Below are 21,916 nucleotides of genomic sequence, written 5' to 3'. Positions count from 1 at the left end.
GTAGCTGTGATAGCCACGTGGTCCCAGGATATTACTTTAGATAATATATGTATCCTTTCAGTTACAAAGGCATTTTCTGTTCTTGCCTTAGTCTCATTCTCTTTATCACTGTGGCTTCCTCAGAGACAGAATGAGACAGAAGCTCAGTTCTCTGCCCCTAGAAGAATAACAGTGGTTGGGTTCTTCATGTCTCTATGGAAATCATGCTGGTGCAAGTGAAGCCTATTTTCTCATGCGTCACACAAAGCTCTCATGATAATTGGAAGGTACTCTGTGGAGGTGATGACTTAATAACACCTTCCCTTCTCAAAAGCACTTGAAGAAGCAAGATCCTTCCTTGGCAGTTCTCAGATGGGCAGCAGAGTTCCCAGCACCATCAGTAAACTCAGCCACACTGTAGAAATGTTTGCCTTTTCTATATGAAGATTATCTAGGTTCTTACACAGCAGTCATCTCTAGACACCTGGATTTCCTAACTGCCTTTGTGAGTTCTGCTCAAATATAATTTAAGGTCATTTTCATTGCTTGTTTGCTTTTACCGTCACACTTTAATATCATGCAAAAGTACATTTCTACTCTCTTAATGCTCAAATTTTGCTCACCAATAGTTTTAGATAATAGGATAATATGACTAAAATATATTAATAGATATCAGCATATTATCTATCAGTATATTAATATATTAAAGCAATCAATATGTTAATGGTTATTTTGGCTGGTAGCTTTTTTTAAGTTCAAGAAATATCTGTGTGCAACTGACTCTGGTAAATGTTCAACGTTAACAAAAAAGACCAGCACTTTTTTTCTTTAAAATTTTTTTTTCATATAATTACTATTTTAAAAATTTTTTTAAAGAGATGAGGTCTCTATGCTGCCCAGGCTGGTTTCAAATGCCTGGGTTCCAGCGAACCTCCTTCCTCAGCCTCCCAAAGTGCTTAGATTACAGGCATGAGACACCAAGCATAGCCCAGCACTTAATTTTTAAAAAGGCTTAAAGTGTCACATACAGAAGCTCATTAAGTTAACAAGTGTACAGATGCTTGTTTACTTATTACGCACAATCTTACGAGGCCACACAATCTGAGCAATGATTAGGAGCTCAAAGTTTAGATCCAATCTCAGGACAACATGAAATAAATGACAAGAAATCAATAAATAACTAAATTATTTTATTTTTTCAACATGAGCATAATACTTATCCTTGGAATGGTGGTAGGAAAAATCCAATGCAAATGAAATACTTTTTAGTCGGTTTTGCAGGATTAAATTTATAATTTTATGGACATTTAAATGGAGGATTATTGCTCATCCTTCCTATCTCCAAGACAATATAATTTTACATAAAAAATGAGAATAAAATTTAAGCAAAAATGACAATATCATGCTTATGCTAACATTTTAATTGTGGGATCAAGGAGGCCTGAGTTCAATCAGAGAATTCAGAGACTCTTTCTGCAGCATTCCTCATAAATTCATCGAACTATTGCCAATCACCTGCATAGACAATGCTTAAAACTGTGTATTCTAGAGTGTTTATCAATAGTAAGCCCAAATCCAACAAAAGTTACTGATCCTGTTTTCGTGTTTAGATAATGACACAGTGCAAATCTATTCAGTCATTCACATAAATGCTCATCTAAACATTGTGGGAAAGTAAATAACAAAAAATAATGTTCTGGGCTAAAAAATAAGTCTTTACACTTGGATAAGAAAAGATTTTGTGAGATATATGCTGTGGAGGTGATGATCAGTGCAAGAGTGGAAAGTTTAAGAGGTGAATGACCACTGGTGTATTTGGCTGATGGTATGTCGAACCTTAGTATAGCCCGCCCTTAATTAAACCTTCCACTTTAAGATTAAACTTAATGTGGTTTTAAGACTTTGACATGTGTATCAGTTAGTGTTCATTGTTTCTGAAACATAACAGAGAAAAACTCTGAATAATACGACCAAGGAAAAGAAGAATTTATTTGAAGGATATGAGATAGCTCACTGAATCAAACAAAAACTGTGTACTACATTGACATGTGACATTCATCCCTGAAAGGCCTGAGCCAAATTTTTTTTAAAAAAAGACCAAAAGGATATATTAATATGTGACATGTTTATTTTTAAATTTTAGCCTTTATTAAAAAATTAACGTAATAAAAAAGAAACCTATGTATACGTGTGCACGCGTTTTTTTTTTCTTTTCTTTTTTTTTTTTTTCTGGAGACAGAGTCTGGCTCTGTCACCCAGGCTGGAGTGCAGTGTTGCGATCTCGGCTCACTGCAAGCTCCGCCTCCTGGGATCAAGCAATTCTCCTGCCTCAGCCTCCCGAGTAGCTGGGACTACAGGTACACGCCGCCACGCCGGGCTAATTTTTTGTATTTTTAGTAGAAATGGGGTTTCACCGTGTTGTCAATGCTGGTCTCGAACTCCTGAGCTCAGGCAATCCGCCCGCCTCGGCCTCCCAAAGTGCTGGGATTACAGGCGTGAGCTACCGCACCCGGCCTGCATATATTTTTTAAACATTTATTTTAGCGTTACCAAATTGTCTTGAAGCATTCATTTAAAAACACAAAAACTCACTGCAGCTGTCTGAACACTTTTCTACTTCACCAAAGAGTGCCGAACAAGTTAAAATGAATCTGTTTTTAAACACTTCTCCTAAACCATGAGCATTAACTTGATTTCCTCTGTCATAGGGATATGGGAGACAATATAACATCCATCAGAGAGTTCCTCCTACTGGGATTTCCCGTTGGCCCAAGGATTCAGATGCTCCTCTTTGGGCTCTTCTCCCTGTTCTACGTCTTCACCCTGCTGGGGAACGGGACCATACTGGGGCTCATCTCACTGGACTCCAGACTGCACGCCCCCATGTACTTCTTCCTCTCACACCTGGCGGTCGTCGACATCGCCTACGCCTGCAACACGGTGCCCCGGATGCTGGTGAACCTCCTGCATCCAGCCAAGCCCATCTCCTTTGCGGGCCGCATGATGCAGACCTTTCTGTTTTCCACTTTTGCTGTCACAGAATGTCTCCTCCTGGTGGTGATGTCCTATGATCTGTACGTGGCCATCTGCCACCCCCTCCGATATTTGGCCATCATGACCTGGAGAGTCTGCATCACCCTCGCGGTGACTTCCTGGACCACTGGAGTCCTTTTATCCTTGATTCATCTTGTGTTACTTCTACCTTTACCCTTCTGTAGGCCCCAGAAAATTTATCACTTTTTTTGTGAAATCTTGGCTGTTCTCAAACTTGCCTGTGCAGATACCCACATCAATGAGAACATGGTCTTGGCCGGAGCAATTTCTGGGCTGGTGGGACCCTTGTCCACAATTGTAGTTTCATATATGTGCATCCTCTGTGCTATCCTTCAGATCCAATCAAGGGAAGTTCAGAGGAAAGCCTTCCGCACCTGCTTCTCCCACCTCTGTGTGATTGGACTCGTTTATGGCACAGCCATTATCATGTATGTTGGACCCAGATATGGGAACCCCAAGGAGCAGAAGAAATATCTCCTGCTGTTTCACAGCCTCTTTAATCCCATGCTCAATCCCCTTATCTGTAGTCTTAGGAACTCAGAAGTGAAGAATACTTTGAAGAGAGTGCTGGGAGTAGAAAGGGCTTTATGAAAAGGATTATGGCATTGTGACTGACAGTGACCTAGGAAGTTACATCATTGAGCGGTTCTTAACCCATCTCTGCACTGGTGGGACCTCTGCCCTCAATGGACATGAGAATTATCTGAGACATTTATTTAAAATGGAGCTATCTCCTGCCCTACCTTTAAATGACTGATTTCAGCAGATGTGGGATGAAATTCTAGAAATTGATCTCTTCAAGTTGTGCTGCAGCCACTCCACACCAGGACAATACCCCTTACAATATCCTCATTAGCTTTTGATCCAGTCCCATACCTCCCATAATGTTTTCCTCAAAACACTGGTCCCTTCAGAGGACTTTAAAAATAAGTTCTATAGTCAAATAAGTTTGAGACTTACTTCACATCAGATGCCTCTGTCTAGGGATCACAATTCATATTAGCATAGTGAATGCTGTAAATATTTCTCTAGGAAAGAATAATTCTATACCAGCTTTAAGCCAGTGTTTTCTAAACTTATGTGAGCACATAAAATTTCCTTTGTAATACTTAGTAACAGTTTCCTGGAACAGGAGATCTTGATATTAATTGACTCATTGTGAATACTTCCTACAGCCCCCTTCTAGGGCAGAATGATTTCTTTTTTCCTTGCAAAGTGAGCCTCTAAAGAGATGTAGTTCTGAGCATTATGCCTCGATCAGTCTGTAAAAATCCGGGTTCTGTTTGGATACAGACCGTGAGGGACCCTGTCTCTACTGTTCAATGGTAGATCATCTAAAGAAAATAAATGCAATCCTGTCCTTCATCATGGATCGGCATTCCTGCTATAGAAGCTTCAGGAGATGACCTCATTCAACCTCACAATCTTCTAAATTTGAGATTTTTAAGAAATATGATTCAGTATACATCTTCCTGTGTTTGCCGCTGAATGAAATCAATCTAATTTTTCTAATTCAGGGTTTTCAAGATAAACCCAGATTTCTCAAGAAAGAAAAATCTAGAAAGATTTCAAAATCCACCACCTACACACTTAAAAGTTGTAGCAGCTTCTTATGCCATGGGAAACATGTCATTTTGAGATGATGTTTTTTCTAGGTTTAAGTTTGGTCTTAAACATTTATATTTAATTTCTCATTGTCTTAGTTCAAAGAATTTACTTTTATATTTTAAAATAACTTTTTACACAATAACTCAGTGTCATATCATGTTAGATATAAAACTATGTCCTAAAACTATTTTATCCTTTTTTTTTTTTTTTTTTTTTGAGACAGTCTTGCTCTATAGCCCAGGCTGGAGTGCAGTGGTGCAATCTCGGCTCACCGCAACCTCTGCCTCCTGGGTTGAAACAATTCTCCTGCCTCAGCCTCCTAAGTAGCTGGGACTACAGGCATGTGCCACCACGCATAGCTAATTTTCAGTAGAGACAGGGTTTGTATTTTTAGTAGAGACAGGGTTTCACCGTGTTGGCCAGGCTGGTCTCAAACTCCTGACCTCAGTTGATTCACCTGCCTCGGCCTCCCAAAGTGCTAGGATTACAGGCATGAGCCATCCTGCCCAGCCTATTTTATACTGCTTATACTATTTATATAGTATAAAAATAGTTTTAAAACTATTTTATGGTATACTTTTTATAAAGTAAAAAGTATACTGTAGTATAATTTTTATACTATATACCATATTATATTTTTATAAAGTTGTTTCCATTTGCTACTAACTTTTTCTTTTGTATGTCAGTTTCCTGATTTCTACATTTCCTGCAGGTCACCTGGAACATCAAAAGAAAAAGAAAAGCTGTAATATTGATGGGTGGCCTACTGTGCAACAAGATTTTCATATAGTGTTTTTGGTGTTATATGGATGTTTCTTCTCGCAGTGGATGTGTAGAGTCAGAGCACAGATGGGCATACTCTCAAACCTTAATAACTGTGCCACATTGCCCTTTGAGTTTATTCTAAACCTTAGCAAGTCAGAGATCACACTGTATGGAACTAACTTCTATCTAAATTGCATGATTGATTGATAGGAGATTTCCAAATAACATTTGGACTGCCTTACATCCAGTAAAAGAACTCAGCAAAATACAAATAAATATGATAATATCTTAGACAGCAAATCTTCTCATCCCACAAGAGGCAGGAAACTGCTAGAGGAAGCTGCCTTGGAGAGGATTCTTTCCTCCCCTCCCGAAAGGAGCTGAACTCAAAATCTCTCCATTTCACAATAGACATTGGAGAACATTTTCAACAGTGGATTTGCACCGGTGTTTTGTGTCCTAGAAAAACGTTCCCTTCAGGTAGGTTCTAATAAGCCCCTTGAACAATTTCCCAAATTGATCATCCTGCCTTCAGAACTTCTGAATCTTCCCTTCAAAACACATACACACGCACACACACACACCCACACACATACCCCTAATCTTATTTAACACTGCTGGAAATAAAAATCTATGTTCTAATGAGAACAAACATCAGACAGAATATGATAAAAGCAAGACTATCCTAGAAACTGTGGCTTCTAAGTTAACCATAATACCTTCCCGGTGATGCACTATATAGTTTCACCATCCCCATGGCTTCATGGGCTCCCTTGGGGCTGAATGGGTCACTACATACCTTTCTAACAGGCTTCCCTGTTTCACACTAGACTAGGGGTCCCCAACCCCTGGGCCATGGACCCACACCTGTCTGTGGCCTGTTAGGAACCAGGCCACACAACAGGAGGTGAGTGGTGGGTCAGTAAGCATTACCACCTGAGCTCCGCCTCCTGTCAGATCAGCAGTGGCATTAGATTCTCATAGGAGGGTGAATCCTATTGTGAACTGCCCATGCAAGGAATATAAGTTGTATGCTCCTTACGAAAATCTAACGCCTGATGACCAATCACTGTCTCCCATCGCCCCCAGATAGGACCATCTAGTTGCAGGAAAACAAGCTCAGGGCTCCCACTGATTCTACAGTATAACGAGTTGTATAATTATTTCATTATCTATTACAGTGTAATAATAACTGAAATAAAGTGCACAATAAACGTCATGCGCTTGAATCATTCTGAAACCACCCCCCCTTCCCGCCCCCACCCTGGAAAAACTGTCTTCTATGAAACCGGTCCCTGGTGCCAAAAGGGTTGGGGACCACTGCGCTAGACCATCCTCGTCCATGTAGCATCTTGAAGGACCTCTCCAAAAGCAAATATCCCTATATTCACCTCAAGCCACCTGTATCTACCAACAGCCTACTTTCTTCAAGATCAAAGTCACACTCCTTAGTCATTTCAGACAAGGTCCTTTGTACACATGATGGCTTCATACACTCAGTGCTCCAGCAATGCAGAACTACTTGCAACTGCAGGAATCTAGTTCTTCCATCTGGAAACCTGCCTCCTTCTCTTTACCCTTCCTTGCCCTAGAGCTACTGCTGGCTTTAAAAAGGTGCTCAGGCCGGCACGGTGGCTCACGCCTGTAATCCCGGCACTGGGAGACCAAGGAGGGCGGATCATGAGGTCAGGAGATTGAGACCATCCTGGCTAACATGGTGAAACCTCGTCTCTACTAGAAATACAAAAAATTAGCTGGGTGTGGTGGTGGGTGCCTGTAGTCCCAGCTACTCAGGAGGCTGAGGCAGGAGAATGGCATGAACCTGGGAGGCGGAGCTTGCAATGAGCCGAGATCGCGCCACTGCACTCCAGCCTGGGCGACAGAGCGAGACTCCATTTCAAAAAAAAAAAAAAAAAAGGTGCTCTGGGTAGATCATTGAGAGAAAAAAAGGTGCCTTTGAAGGACGCGGCCTGGCAGTGTTCAAGGCTTGGCAAGCAGATGGCACTTTTGGCAAAAACAACAACAACAACAACCACAAAAAACGAATCCCCTTCCTCCTGCCAATGCAGCCCCTGTTAAGGCTTGGTGAGCTGAGCAAAGATTCCATTTCCACTCCCACTCACCTTGTTGGCAGGATGCCACTGTACAACCGACAGACTGCACAGGGCAGACCTGCTGTATGGCAACACGTATCCTATCCCATCATAAGTCTTCCAAACCCCGATCAGCAACCACCCCTACCAGGAAGCATTCTCTGATGCTCCTTGACATTCACACCTGGGTCTGTAATTTTTGCTTCCTTGAGCCTTGTACGTGGTTCTAGTGCAATAGTTATCCCATCTGATTATAGCTGTTATCTTCCTACCTGGGCAAAGATCCTTTGGTCAGGTACTTTGTTGGTTATCTCTAGTTCTTAAAAAGGTGCCTGAAATTTATTTGTCAGTTGCTGATCCAAAATTAAAAGCTAACATTCATGTTCTTTTAAAAAAGCACTTAATACTTCTACTATATCAAAACATCAGGTTTCCCCAAATTAGTAAGATCTAACACATTTTAGGTAAAATAAAGATGATGATGATGAAAATGGATTATACAAACTGTTGAAATTTGCTTTAATTGTACAAAGGGGACCTAACCTAATTATCAAATGATGCACATTATTACTAAAAATGATGTACTTTCACTAGAAAATAAGTAGCTGGAGGCTTGTGTTTTAAGAGTTGGAGAGAGTGAACCCAGGATTTAATCAGATTAGATTCTCTTTTTTTTTTGAGACAGAGTCTTGCTCTGTTGCCCAGGCTGGAGTGCAGTGGTGCGATCTTGGCTCACTGCAACCTCCGCCTCCCAGGTTCAAGCAATTATCTTGCCTCAGCCTCCCGAGTAGCTGGGATTACAGGTACACGCCACCATGCCTGGCCAATTTTTGTATTTTTTTAGTAGAGATGGGGTTTCACCATGTTGGCCAGGCTGATCTCAAACTCCTAACCTTGTGATCTGCCCGCCTCAGCCTCCCAAAGAGCTGGGATTACAGGCGTGAGCCACCGTGCCTGGCCCAGATTAGATTCTTCACTTGCTCTCTTGTTAAGGCTGTATTCAAAATTTCCTTTGATGTAAGTTAGTTTACTTTGTATGTTAATGGCAAGAAAATAATAAAACTAGGCTAATCTTGTGTTACAGATGAGAAAAATTAGACTCTAAGATATTAATTTTTCCAAGTTCCCACAACCTAGCTATGTGGGGAGCCTGGCCATGAACTCTTGGGTTGCAGTTCTTTTAACATTTCAGTGCTGGTTTTTAAAAGAATAAACAGCTCACCATTTGAGATTGAGTATTAATACATGATACCCAGAGGTATTTGGGTGGGCGAGCTCTCACTTTACAGCTCTTTCTCCTTCTGTACCAGTGACCTAACTTGTTTGGTGTTAGACTTTTAACAGTAAATATCTGGAGAATGTACCCCAACTTGGACATATATTTATTTATATATTACATACCTAAATTACTAACAGTTGTATGTACTTAATATTAGTAGAGCTTAATTTTGTTCACATATTTAAGGAAAATACTTTCTAGAGAATGTCCTGAGCCACAGTACAGCCACCCATCTACACAAAGGGCTAATAAACTTCGATCCCAAAGAGAGGGGTCAGCACCATCTAGTGAACCAGTGTGAAACTGCACTCTCAGGCCCAACAGGGGTTTCCAGGTTATCTTACAGAATAGGCTTAGCCAAATCCCCAGTTCCTGATCCTGAATGTTGGAGCCTAATTCCCTTGTCCCTTGTCCCTTGTGTTCTTTCATCTCCTTTTCCTTTCTTTTCCTTTCTTTCCTTTTTTTTTTTTTTTGATGGAATCAAATACTAATTTGATCTGTCGCCTAGGCTGGAGTGCAGTGGTGCGATCTTGGCTCACTGCAACCTCCGCCTCCCGGGTTCAAGCAATTCTCCTGCCTCAGCCTCTCCAGTAGCTTGGATTACAGGTGCTACCATGCCTGGCTAATTTTTGTATTTTTATTAATTTTTTGTATTTTTCTTCACGTTGGCCAGGCTGGTCTCGAACTCCTGGCCTCAAGTGACCTGCCCGCATTGGCCTCCCAAAGTGTCATCTCCTTTTTCTTTGTCAAACATATCTCTTAGCCACTGTATTGCCATTGTCATTCTATCCCCCTGGCATTACATTCATACATATTAAATAGGCTAGAAAAATGCCATAAAGTCCAGATACTTTTTACATCTACTTATGCATAAGGAAAAAAGTGCTGGTATGAAATACAAAAATAGGAATTATCAGCTATCACAAAGTGTATATTTATTTGTTTACTGGCTTATTTTCAGTTTTCTCCACTACAGTACATGAGAGCAGGAGACAGATCTGTATCTCAAATGCCTAGAACAGGGCCTGGTGCATACATGGCAAGCATAAAATAAAACGTTGAATCAATGGATTAATTGGTTATTTAAGATGGAGTGAGTCATAATGTCTAATAACAATCACTTGAAATGTAGAACTGCTAAATAGCATGCACAAAGTCAAAAGTGGTTTCTGTTTTCTCTAAGCACATTTAAATTTTGCAAATGTTTCAATAATCAACATAAATTACCATTATAAATAGTAATAAGAAATAAATGTTACAACTAATTCATTAGCTTGGTCTTACAGCCCTATATGTGCTCTTTTATAAAAACCACAAAGATGACAAAGGTCTTAAAGAGTTGTGTAATCAATCACTCATTATCAGGCTGAAAGACAGCTGATATCATCTGTCTGCTGCCTTAATGGACAGCATAGTGGGGGTAGGAAGGTGCTGGCACTTACAGTCCCTGGGCACACTCTTAGCCTTACTCCTCATTCTCATCTATATTGTTAAGATAAGGATGCTAAAATCAGCAATCTAATAACGATCACTTCAAATGCAGAACTGCTAAATAGCATACAAAAAGGCCAGAAAATGTCAATGCTCAGGAAAATTCACAGTGATGATAATAGCAGGGTAAGGTTAAGTAGACTTATAATGACAAATGGTTATTAAAGGCATTATGAGATAAGTAAACAGATACACGAACCTAACAGCCAGCCACTGTTGATCCACAAAGAGATGAACTTTGTCGATTCTGACGTTCTTGGCATAGTGCAGTCGCTTTGGCAAATCAGGAGTCAAATAGGGCTTGAAATGCTGATCAGGTTTTCGGCACTGAAAAGCAAGTAAATATTTCTTTATGATACATAAGATATGCAAATTAATTTTAAAAGTTCATCTTCTACATCAATTTATGAAGCACCTTTTAAAAGTAAGGGGATTTCAGCTTGGCTAATACAATAGGAATATTAAACCTATTATCAATGTAGTCAGATCCCCCTAGTTATTAGTTTTGCCGTTGCAATGATAATCAGGTTGCAATTAAAAATCTGATTTAACCCAGGAGGTGGAGGTTGCAGTGAGCCAAGATCACCCCATTGCACTCCAGCCTGGGCCATAGAGTGAGACTCTCTCAAAAAAATAAAAAATCTGATTTAAATTATGAGTTAATGTTTTCAGTTTTTATTCCTGGGGGTGTGTGTGTGTGTGTGTATATAACCATATATATAATATATAATATATAATATATAACCATATATAATATATAATATATAAACATATATATTATATATAACTATATATCATATATAACCATATATATTATATATAACTGTATCATATATAGTTGTATAATATATAACTATATATCATATATAGTGTATAATATATAACTATATATCATATATAGTGTATAATATATAACTATATATCATATATAGTGTATAATATATAACTATATATCATATATATCACATATCATATATATCATATCATATATACATATCATATCATATATCATATATCATATATAACTACATATTATATCATATATAACCATATATCATATATAACCATATATCATATATCATATATAATATAGCCATATAATATATACTATATATGGTTATATATTATATGTAATATATATAACCATATATTATATATATATTAAACCACTATGAATTACCCTCTTTTTTAACAGAAAATGGACAGACATCTAGATTTAGAGTGATAATGACAACTTTTGAGTCTAAATTACATATAAATATATATACCATATTAGTAGATATGAGTAAAAAAATTAAAAAGTAGTTTAATTGCACAAAAAAGTACTTTCCAACAGACTCAATTTATCTTTTAAATAACCTACATTTGCTTAGTTTTCCGATCAAGTCAATGGCTTTTGAAACCTATTATAGTCTCCCTATTTGTAAAACAATCATGGTTTCCTTACAAATTGGAGTAAAATTTTGTTTCTTTAACAATTATGACTGTATGGCATATTTTAAAATTGTAGAAATGCAAATCACATTGGTATCTATTTATGTAAAAGAAAAATGAGGTAATGAGAAATAGAACTACAAAGGAACTTTCCCTCATGACCATTTTGAGAAACAAGAAGAAAAACCATAAACAAAGGAAACGAAATTTTTCCTATTTCCTCATTTTCTCATTTATTTTAAACCACAATATATCATATATATTAACAAGTGTGTGTCACTATTATCTCAGGGTCAATTTAGATAAGAAAAATAAGAGAAACTATGAAGCACATAATTTACACAAACAAAATTTAAACAAAATATAGACAATGGGAGAGCAAGGAGAGTTTATAGAATGAAAGAAGAAAAACAAAAGTATATATTGCAAACATATTTTTGCCAGTTTTTTCTTGCCTATTTTGGTATATTTTCTAGGCTTCTTATGCTTCTACTGTTTTATTTATCATTACTTCTTTCTTAAGCCAATATTTTTGTAACTTCCAGGCAGGCACAACCTGGCAGCTGCTGAGTATGCAGCTTCCCCCAAGATGCAAGGGACTAACTATAATTTGTCCCTGTGTGTAATTGTCACACTTTCCTGGACTTTGTGTAGCCAGAGTAAATCCAGAGAAAACCGGAGGCTCACTACCTACCTGTGAAGAAGTACCGGTGATTCTTTGCATTTGAGAATTTGGAATGAAGTCTACAGAGTTGAGATACAATTTTTGACTTTTTTTTTTCTCTTTCTTTTTTTTTTTTTGAGACTGAGTCTTGCTCTATCACTCAGGCTGGAGTGCAGCGGTATGATCTCAGCTCACTGCAACCTCTGCTTCCTGGGTTCAAGCAATTCTCCTGCCTCAGTCTCCAGAGTAGCTGGGATTACAGGCATCCACCACCATGCCCGGCTAATTTTTGTATTTTTAGTAGAGAAGATATTTCACCATGTTGGTCAGGCTAGTCTCGAACTCCTGACCTCAAGTGATCCGCCCGCCTCGGCCTCCCAAAGTGCTGGGATTACAGGAATGAGCCACCGCGCCCGGCCGTTTTTGACATTTTATCTCAGAATAAATAGTAGTGATGTCTCTCATGTAGTCAGAGTGCTGCAGAACTTAAAAAGTTGCCACTTCATGCTTGGTTAATTCTGTCCAGAATAAGCTCAATATAGGCCCAGGGAACAGCACTGCTGGGAATACTACCACATGAAATATTTCCTTGGGAAGGATGGACTATGTGAAATGGTAGCCCATTTCTTTGGGCCTTTGTAACTCTAGGTCCAGTCCATATCTGTGATGCCATGCAATGGATTTCCAAAGACTGTGATACTCAATCCCCTTGCACAACTGGGATTATTAGAGATTTGCCCTTCTTCACCAACAGAGCTTCAGCTATAGGGATCATGAGGTGACAAAACAAAAAGAAAACCATATATGGATTTAGAGAGTCCACATGTTGAAAATGCTGAACTATGCATCCACTCAGCATGAACACATTGCAAGTATACACTTCACCAGAAGGGGTGGGCAAGAATGTCCACAGTTTTTACTCAAGATCGGCATACTAGAAGGTGTTGAGAGAAAAACAGAGTGATCATCACTGTAAAGAAATTCTGCTCTAATGGGCATTCTACTTGAAACTTGCAGTGGGTCCCAGATTATATTAACCACTCTTTGCTCAGCGTTTATCGTCAGTCCTTTGCACTCCATCCTCAGAGATTTTACTCCACAGGCATACCTTGGAGATATTTTGAACTCACTTCCAGACCACCACAATAAAGCAAGTCATATGAATTGGTTTCCCAGTGCACATAAATATGTTTACACTATACTGTAATCTTTTAAGTGTGCAACAGCACTATGTCTAAAAACTACATACCTGAATTTTAAATTACTTAATTGCTTAAAATGCCAATGATCCTCTGAGCGTTCAGTGAGTTGTCATCTTTTTTGATCGTAGAGGGCCTTGCTTCAATGTTGATGGCTGCTGACTGATCAAAATGGTGGTTGCTGAAGGCTGGGGTGGCTGTGGTAATTTCTTAAAATGAGACAGAAATGAAGGTGGCTGCATCAGTGGACCCTGCCTTTCACAAAGTATTTCTCTGTAGCATCCGAAACTGTTTTATAACATTTTACCCACAGTAGAACTTCTTTCAAAATTAGAGTCAATCCTCTCAAGTCCTCTCAAAGCTGCTGCTTTAGCCACTAAGTTTATGGAATAATTTAAATCCTTTGTTGTCTTTTCAACAATGTTTATGGCATCTTCACAGGGTTAGATTCCATCTCAAGAAACCGCTTTCTTTACTCATCCGTAAGAAGCAGCTCTTCATCTGTTCCAGTTTTCTCATGAGATTGCAGCAACTCAGTCACAGCTTCAGGCTCCATTTCTGATTCTAGTTCTCTTTCTATTTTTACCACGACTGTAGTTACTTCCTCTGCTGAAGTCATGAACCCTTCAAAGTTATCCAGGAGGGTTGGAATCAACTTCTTCCAAACTCCTATTAATGATGATATTTTGACCTCCCACAAATCACAAATGTTTTTAATGGTATCTAGAATGGTGAATCATTTCCAGAAGGTTTTCACTTTATAATACTTTGCTCAGATCAATCAGAGGAATCCTTATTTATGACAATAGTCTTATGAAATGTATTTCTTAAAGAATAAGACTTGAAAGTTAAAATTGCTCCTTGATCCATGGCCTGCAGAATAGATGTGTTAGCAGACATGAAAATATCCATCTCCTTGTACATCTTCATCAGAACTCTTGGGTGACCTGGTACTTTCTCAATAAACAGCAATCTTTAGAAAGGAACCTTTTTTTCTGAGCAGAAAGTCTCAACAGTGAGTTTAAAATATTCAGGAAACGGATGCTATAAACAGATAAGCTGTCATCAGGCTTTGTTGTTCCATTTACAGAGCACAGGTAGAGTAGATTGAGCATAATTCGTAAGGGCCCTAGGATTTTCAGAATGAACATTGGCTCAATTTCAAGTCACCAGCTGCATTAGCCCCTAAAAAAAGAGTCAGCCTGTCCTTTGAAGTTTTGAAGTCAAGCATTGACTTCTCTTCTCTAGCTATGAAAGTCCTAGATGGCATCTTCTTCCAATGGAAGGCTGTTTCCTCTACATTGAAAATATGTTGCTTAGTGTGGCCATTTTCATCAATGATCTTAGCTAGATCTTCTGGATAACTTGCTGCAGCTTCTATGTCACCACAAATACTTGCTGCTTCACCTTGCACTTTTCTGTTATGGAGAAGGCTTCTTCTTTTTTTCTCTCTCTCTCTTTTAAATAGAGTCTCACTCTGTTGCCCAGGTTGGAGTGCAGTGGCGTGATCTCAGCTCACTGCAACCTCCGCCTTCCGGGTTCAAGCAATTTTCCTGCCTCAGCCTCCCAAGTAGCTGGAATAACAGGTGCCCAAAACCACGCCTGGCTATTTTTTTTTTTTTTTTTTTTTGGATTTTTAGTAGAGACGGGTTTCACCATGTTGGCCAGGCTGGTTTCGATCTCCTGACCTCAAATGATCCACCTGCCTCGGCCTCCCAAAGTGCTAGGATTATAGGCGTCAGCCACCGCACCTGGCCAGAAGACTTCTTTCTTTATATCTCACTAACAAACCCCTGCTAGCTTTAAACTTTTCTTCTGCAACTTCCTCACCCATCTCAGCCTTCATAAAGTTGAAGAAAGAGTTAGCGTCTTGCTCTGAATTAGGTTTTGGCTTAAAAGACTGTTGTGGCTAGTTGATTTTCTATCCAGCCACTAAAACTTTCTCCATGTCAGCAATGAGGCTGTTTCACTTTCTTATTATGTATGTATTCACTAGAATAGCACTTCTCATTTTCTTCAAGAACTTTTCTTTTGTTATGACAATTTGGCTAACTGTTTGATGCAACAGGCCTAGCTTTTGGCCCATCTTAACTTTCAACATGCCTTCCTCATTAAGCTTAATCATTTCTAGCTTTTGCTTTAAAATGAGAAATGTGTCACTATTCCTTTTACTTTAACATTTAGAAGCCATTGTAGCATTACTAATTGGCCTAATTTCAATATTGTTATGCCTCAGGGAATAGAAGAGTCCAGAAGCGAGGAGGGGGACGGGAAACAGCCAGTTTGTGGAGCAATCAGCACGCATGTAATATTTATCTGTTAAGTTTGCCATCTTCTATGAGTAGGATTCATGGTGCCCCAAAACAATTACAATAGTAACATCAAAGGTAACTGATCACATATCACCAGAGCACATATAATAATAATGAAAAATTTGAAGTACTGTGAGAATTAACAAAAGGTGACACAGACACATGAAGCGGGCACATGCTGTTGAAAAAATAGCACTGGATAGACATGCTCAGTGCAGAGCTGCCACAAAACCTTCAATTGGTAAAAAAATGCAACATCTAGAAAGCACAATGCAGTGAAGCAAGGTAAGCCTGTAACTGTATACCCCCATACTCAAATAGTTACAGTCGCATTGCAAACAATAGTGAAGTCATGAATTTCATGTAGTAGATAAATATTTGTGAATATATTTTAAATATATAACTATAAAAACTATTCCATTGTGGTTTTGGTTTACATTTTTCTGAGAATTAGTGAAGCTGAGTATTTTTTAACATGTTTGCTGGCTACTTGTATGTCTTCTTTTGAGAAGTGTCTGTTCATTTGTTTTGCTCACTTTTTAATGGGGTTATTTGTTTTTTGCTTGTTGATTTGTTTAAATTCCCTATAGATTCTGGATATTAGGCCTTTGTTGTAGTTTGTGAATATCTCCTCCCATTCTGTAGGCTGTTTGCTCTGTTGATAGTTTCTTTGGCTATACAGAAGCTCTTAGTTTAATTAGGTCTCACCTATTTTTTGTTTTGTTGTAATTGCTTTTGGGGACTTAGCCAAAAATTATTTGCCAAGACCCATGTCAAGAAGAGTATTTCCTAGGTTGCCTTCCAGGATTTTTATAGTTTGAGGTCTTATATTTAAATCTTTAATCCATTTTGAGTTAATTTTTATATATGGCAAAAGGTAGGGGTCCAGCTTCAATGTTCATGTGGCTGGCTAGTTATCCCAGCACCGTTTATTATGTTATTTCCCAATTGCTTGTTTTTGTCAGCAAATCAAAACCACAATGAGATACCATCTCACACTAGTCAGAATGGCCACCGCTAAAAAGTCAAAAAACAATAGACGCTATGGTGAGGCTGCAGAGAAAGGAACACTTATATACTGTTGATGGAAGTATAAATTAGTCCAGCCACTGTGGAAAGCAGTCTAGAGATTTCTCAAAGAACTTAAAACAGAGATACCATTCTACCCAGCAATCCCATTACTGGGGATATACCCCTCCACCAAAATAAAACATTCTACCAAAAAGACACATAAACTCATATGTGTATTGCTGCATTATTCACAATAGCAAAGACATGGAATCAACCCAGGTGCTCAACAATGGTATATTGGATAAAGAAAATGTGGTACATATACATCATAGAATACTATGCAGCCATAAAAAAAGAATGAAATCATGTCCTTTGCAGCACCATGAATGGAGCTGGAGGCCATAATCCTAAGCAAATTAATGCAGGAACAGAAAACCAAATACTGCATGTTGTCACTTATAAGTGGGAGCTAAACATTGAACACACGTGAACATAAGTATGGGAACAATAGACACTGTGGACTACTAGAGGGAAGAGGAGGTGTATGGGTTAAAAAACTACTTATTGGGTACAATGCTTACTACCAGGATGATAGGTTCCATATTCCAAACCTCAGACTCACACAATATTCCCATGTAACAAATCTGCACATGTACCCTCTGTATCTAACATGAAAGTTGAATTTTTTAAAAAAAGTTAATAAAGGCAAACATTGTAAAGGTAAAATAAATATAAATAAATAAATAACAAAACTATTACAGAAGACCATTCCAGGTCTCTCCAGGAGTAGTGAATTGTACTTCCAAAAATATTGCTTTAAGATATCTGGAAGTTTCTCTACTCATTTACTTACAATTTGGGATGTGGGAACCAATCGAAAGCAGTTGCAATTATACTTAGTGAGTAAAGAGATTATCTTTTTGACTTGTAAAAAAAAGATCTGTAAGAGGTATAATTCACTATCCTCTTATATTAGTCACACAAAAAATGAGAAAGACGATGCTACCTGAAGCTCACTAATGCAACCCTTTTGAATGGGACATCAGCCCTTTCAATATAAGCCAGTATTTAGTGCTACTATTACTGCAAGCTAATTTCTGTGGATGTGTCAGCTCCAAAATGAAAACAACTAAGATAAAAGCAACTAATATGCATATAAAATAATGTTGATGGAAGGTTTAGAAATAAATTCCAAGTAGCTTAGATTTAGAAATATACAATATGAATTTCTCAAAAACCCAGATTAAGGTCATTGCATTAACTTAAATATATGTATTAAGAGTATTGTATACTTACACTGAGGTTTCTAACAATTTCCTCAGAATTAACTGTTTCAAAAGAAAAAGAAATAAATGACATTACAATTGATAACGAACAAATGCAAAGAATGTGAACCACTCAGGTGAATTTGATACATTCACTTATTAATAACTGTGATCTGGTAAAATTATATTAAAAATTATTTCAAGCAAAGAATTATTTTAGCATTTAGAACTGAGTAGGATATATTTCAACCTAACAATATTAGATATTACCATAGACTTTATAGACTGTACTTAAGCATGGGAATTTCCCACTTGTTTCTCTGTGGTCTTCTCAAGAAGTCAGTAGAGGGTCTGATAACCCCAACTTCCTCTCAGAATTAGTGGACTATGGTTATTCACTTTCAGGTTTACCCTTTTTTTCATATAGGTGTCTTCATACTTACAACTAAAAAAGTCATGAGGTATATTATGAGCTCGGATGCGGGGGGCAGGCCCTTCGTACATGTAGAAGAAGTTTATTCTGGGAAAATAATCAGTCATGTATTCCATCTTGTTACAATAAGTCTGGTCCATTCCTGAATAAAAAAATAATCATAATAACCCACTGAATGTATATAAATGGCAACGGTTGATTTCTGTCTTGTCAAATAGAAGACATTTTATGTTACAGATCTCAAACTAAGCTTCACTGAGAATTTACGCAATTCACCCTATTACTCTACTCTGGCAGAAAATTGTGGCAGTGGAGAAGGGTCATGTTTGAGGGAAGAACAGATGGGTATCATAAACAGATCATTTGTTCAATGTATAATAGATTAATGGAAATAACCTTTACCTTTAAAAGTATATTATTTCGGCTGTGCTCCGTGGCTCACACCTGTAATCCTAACACTTTGGGAGGCTGAGGGGGGAACTCACTTGAGGCCAGGAGTTCAAGACCAGCCTAGCCAACATGATAAACCCCATCCCTACCAAAAAATACAAACGTTAGCCAGGCATGGTGGCATGCCCCTATAGTCCCATTTACTCGAGAGGCTAAGGCACGAGAATCATTTGAACCTCGAAGGTGGCAGTTGCAGTGAGCCGAGATTGTGCCACTGCACTCCTGCCTAAGTGACAGAACAAAATTCTGTCTCAAAAAAAAAGTATAAAGTAATTTAAATTTATATAAGGAGTACGTGCTATAAAAAGATTTGGTAGTTAACCTTTTTTATTTGAAGATTTTTCAGACTGCACATGAATTTTTTTTTTTTTTGAGACAGAGTCTTGCTCTGTTGCCCAGGCTATAGTGCAGTGGTGTGATCTCGCTTCACTGCACTGCAGCCTCCACTTCCCGGGTTCAAGTGATTCTCCTGTCTCAGCCTCCCAAGTAGCTGGGGCTACAGGCATGTGCCACCACACCTGGCTAATTTTGTAGTTTTAGTAGAGATGGGGTTTCACCATATTGGCCAGGCTGGTCTCGAACTCCTGACCTCAGGTGATCCACCCACCTCAGCCTCCTAAAGTGCGGGGATTACAGGCCTGAGCCATGGTGCCTGGCTTGCATATAAATTATTATTTTCATTAATTTCTTTTAACAAAATGTACATCAAAAGTTTCCATTTAATTTTAAAACAATAAGGCAAAGTGTTAGAGAACTACCTTAGAAATTTTAAAAATACATTACTATGTTTCCCATTATCTGGATGCTCTAAAATACGACCAAAAGTTCTGCAGACACACTATTTTTCTTCCTCATGCCCCATGGCTGGTCTCTTCACAGATATTGGGGCTTGACTTTAAACGTCCTCCTCAAGAAGACAGTTTGACCACCCTAGCTAGGAAGGATCTACTCCATATCTAGGAAAGTACCTATCATTGAGTAGGCACTTAAAAAAATATCTGTAGAGGACAGGCCCGGTGGCGCACTCCTGTAATCCCAGCACTTTGGGAGGCCGAGGTGGGCGGATCACAAAGTCAGGAGATTGAGACTAACCGGGCTAACACGGTGAAACCCCATCGCTACTAAAAATACAAAAAAATTAGCCAGGCGTGGTGGTGGGCGCCTGTAACCCCAGCTACTCAAGAGGTTGAGGCAGGAGAATGGCATGAACTCGGGAGGCAGAGCTTGCAGTGAGCCAAGATCGGGCCACTGCATTCCAGCCTGGGTGACAGAGCGAGACTCTATCTCAAAAAAAAAAAAAAAAAAACCTGTAGAGTGAGTGCATATGTACTTCAAAACTGTTTGAATGCATTTTGCGTGAGGTGGCAGAGGGTGTCTCCACTGTTTCACTTCCTTTAACATTCAGGTTAACCAAAATCAAGAGTTAACCTCAAGTAGAGAAATGTGAGGTGACAGTAACTTTAAAGATGAAAAGCTATGAATAAACACACATCTATTTACATAACTAAAAAAAAATACACACGGTGTGGCAAAACTTGCCAATTACAGTAAACTGCAGCCAATCTACATAAACGAATCATGGCTGGAAAGAAGGTCCCAAAGCACTTTTTAGATTGAATAAAAACCCAACCACATCCCTGTTAAATATCATTAACTCTACTTTTACAAAACATAGTGTCTGTGGGTAGGTTTTCAGGGGTATCAGAATAATTAAACTAGAAAATTTAATGTAGTCCTCTTTTCATCACATTCTACCACAATTCATTCCTTGCTTCTTCAAGAGACTTTAGGTCTGGAAGTAGAGATTTTAAAATATCACTATTATTTGTGTATGATTTCTGAAGTGATAAATTATAGTCAATGATAAAATAAGAATGTTTTTTAAAAGCATACCATGGTCAGCCAGAAGGATGATATTGACACAGTTGTGCAAATTCCGCTGCTTCAGGCCTTCCATCAACATCCCAAAAGCATGATCTACTACCTGTAAGGCTTTAATTACCTGAAAAATAATTTGGAGTTAAGATTGTCGTAATGAGTTGTCTTAATTAGCCAAACCGTTATCTAATGAAGTAAAAATTAAACACATCTCCATCTCTGAAATTGCTGGTTTTGAAACAGAACCTCAGAGCCCAGCACTAGCACCCATGCTACCATATTCATCAAATACCAATTCCCTAAATTTCTATAAACAAAAATCTAAATCATACTTCCTACAAAGGAAGATAGACTGCTGGCCAATAAATACATGAAACCATGTTGAATGTCAACTAACACTATTCAACTGTAAAAATTTTCATAGCGATGCTCTCAGTTAGAAAGAAGAGTGGACAGATACTTCTAAGACAGCCTAAGGGTCACATACATTCCAGAGGGTCATGTGACAATAGGTTTCCAGGGAGTTAAAAAGAGCATCTGCAACTCAACGATTCTACTTCTGGGCATTTGTCCTAAGTCAACACTTGGAGTACAAATGGAGACTTGCATACAAACACAGTCATCACATTACTGATTTATAATTTAAATGCAAGGAAAAATAATTTATTTATTTATTTATTTTTAGGGACAGGGTCTTACTCTGTTGCCCAGGCTAGAGTACAGTGACACAATCACAGCTCACTGCAGCTTTGATCTTATGGACTAAAGCAATCCTCCTGTCTCAGCCTCCTGAGTAGCTAGCACCACAGGTGGACACCATCATGCCTGGCTAATTCTTTAATTTTTTGTAGAGATTCGATCTCATTAAGTTTCCCAGGCTGTTCTCAAACTCCTGGGCTCAAGTGATCCTCCTGCCTCAGCCTCTCAAAGTGTTGGAATTACAGGTGTGAGCTGACACGCTTGGCCACAAGGAAAAGTAAATGATGACACATTCTTAAGAA

The 21,916-nt window shown here is 38.5% G+C and overlaps 2 protein-coding genes across 5 annotated transcripts in view, besides 3 other annotated features; one reads left to right on the top strand and one right to left on the bottom strand.

The window, feature by feature from the left end:
* The window catches only part of ENPP3 (ectonucleotide pyrophosphatase/phosphodiesterase 3), a 110,109-nt gene that overhangs the window by 43,318 nt on the left and 44,875 nt on the right, over positions 1-21,916 (bottom strand). For all 4 annotated transcript variants that reach the window (NR_133007.2, NM_005021.5, XM_017010932.2 and 1 more), the window contains 4 exons: positions 20,931-21,039; positions 18,598-18,729; positions 18,186-18,217; positions 10,469-10,596 (listed from right to left, as the gene is read on the bottom strand). Coding sequence is in view for 3 of the 4 variants with exons in the window: in NM_005021.5 (NP_005012.2) it covers positions 10,469-10,596; positions 18,186-18,217; positions 18,598-18,729; positions 20,931-21,039 (401 nt within the window). In the remaining variant the exon portion in view is untranslated. The remainder of the gene's footprint in view (positions 1-10,468; positions 10,597-18,185; positions 18,218-18,597; positions 18,730-20,930; positions 21,040-21,916) is intronic.
* Positions 2,421-3,006: an enhancer, noted in NCBI's record as "H3K27ac-H3K4me1 hESC enhancer chr6:132022227-132022812 (GRCh37/hg19 assembly coordinates)". NCBI's record gives its function as "activates a minimal SCP1, AML or CMV promoter by ChIP-STARR-seq in primed H9 embryonic stem cells {active_cell/tissue: H9 hESC(primed)}" and the evidence as "EXISTENCE:reporter gene assay evidence [ECO:0000049][PMID:30033119]".
* Positions 2,692-4,449, top strand: OR2A4 (olfactory receptor family 2 subfamily A member 4). The gene has a single exon (NM_030908.2). It carries the CDS (start codon positions 2,692-2,694, stop codon positions 3,622-3,624), a length of 933 nt encoding a protein of 310 aa, NP_112170.1. The 3' UTR covers positions 3,625-4,449.
* Positions 3,007-3,592: an enhancer, noted in NCBI's record as "H3K27ac-H3K4me1 hESC enhancer chr6:132021641-132022226 (GRCh37/hg19 assembly coordinates)". NCBI's record gives its function as "activates a minimal SCP1, AML or CMV promoter by ChIP-STARR-seq in primed H9 embryonic stem cells {active_cell/tissue: H9 hESC(primed)}" and the evidence as "EXISTENCE:reporter gene assay evidence [ECO:0000049][PMID:30033119]".
* Positions 15,426-15,555: an enhancer, noted in NCBI's record as "active region_25068". NCBI's record gives its function as "activates an Ori minimal core promoter by ATAC-STARR-seq in GM12878 lymphoblastoid cells {active_cell/tissue: GM12878}" and the evidence as "EXISTENCE:reporter gene assay evidence [ECO:0000049][PMID:35858748]".

The sequence above is a fragment of the Homo sapiens genome, chromosome 6 (assembly GCF_000001405.40).
Source record: "Homo sapiens chromosome 6, GRCh38.p14 Primary Assembly".
Taxonomy (NCBI): domain Eukaryota; kingdom Metazoa; phylum Chordata; class Mammalia; order Primates; family Hominidae; genus Homo; species Homo sapiens.
This window is presented reverse-complemented; position numbering and strand designations above follow the sequence as displayed.

Coding starts and splice junctions, on each gene's coding strand:
- OR2A4 (NM_030908.2), top strand. CDS start 2,692: ATGGGAGACAATATAACATCCATCAGAGAGTTCCTCCTACTGGGATTT.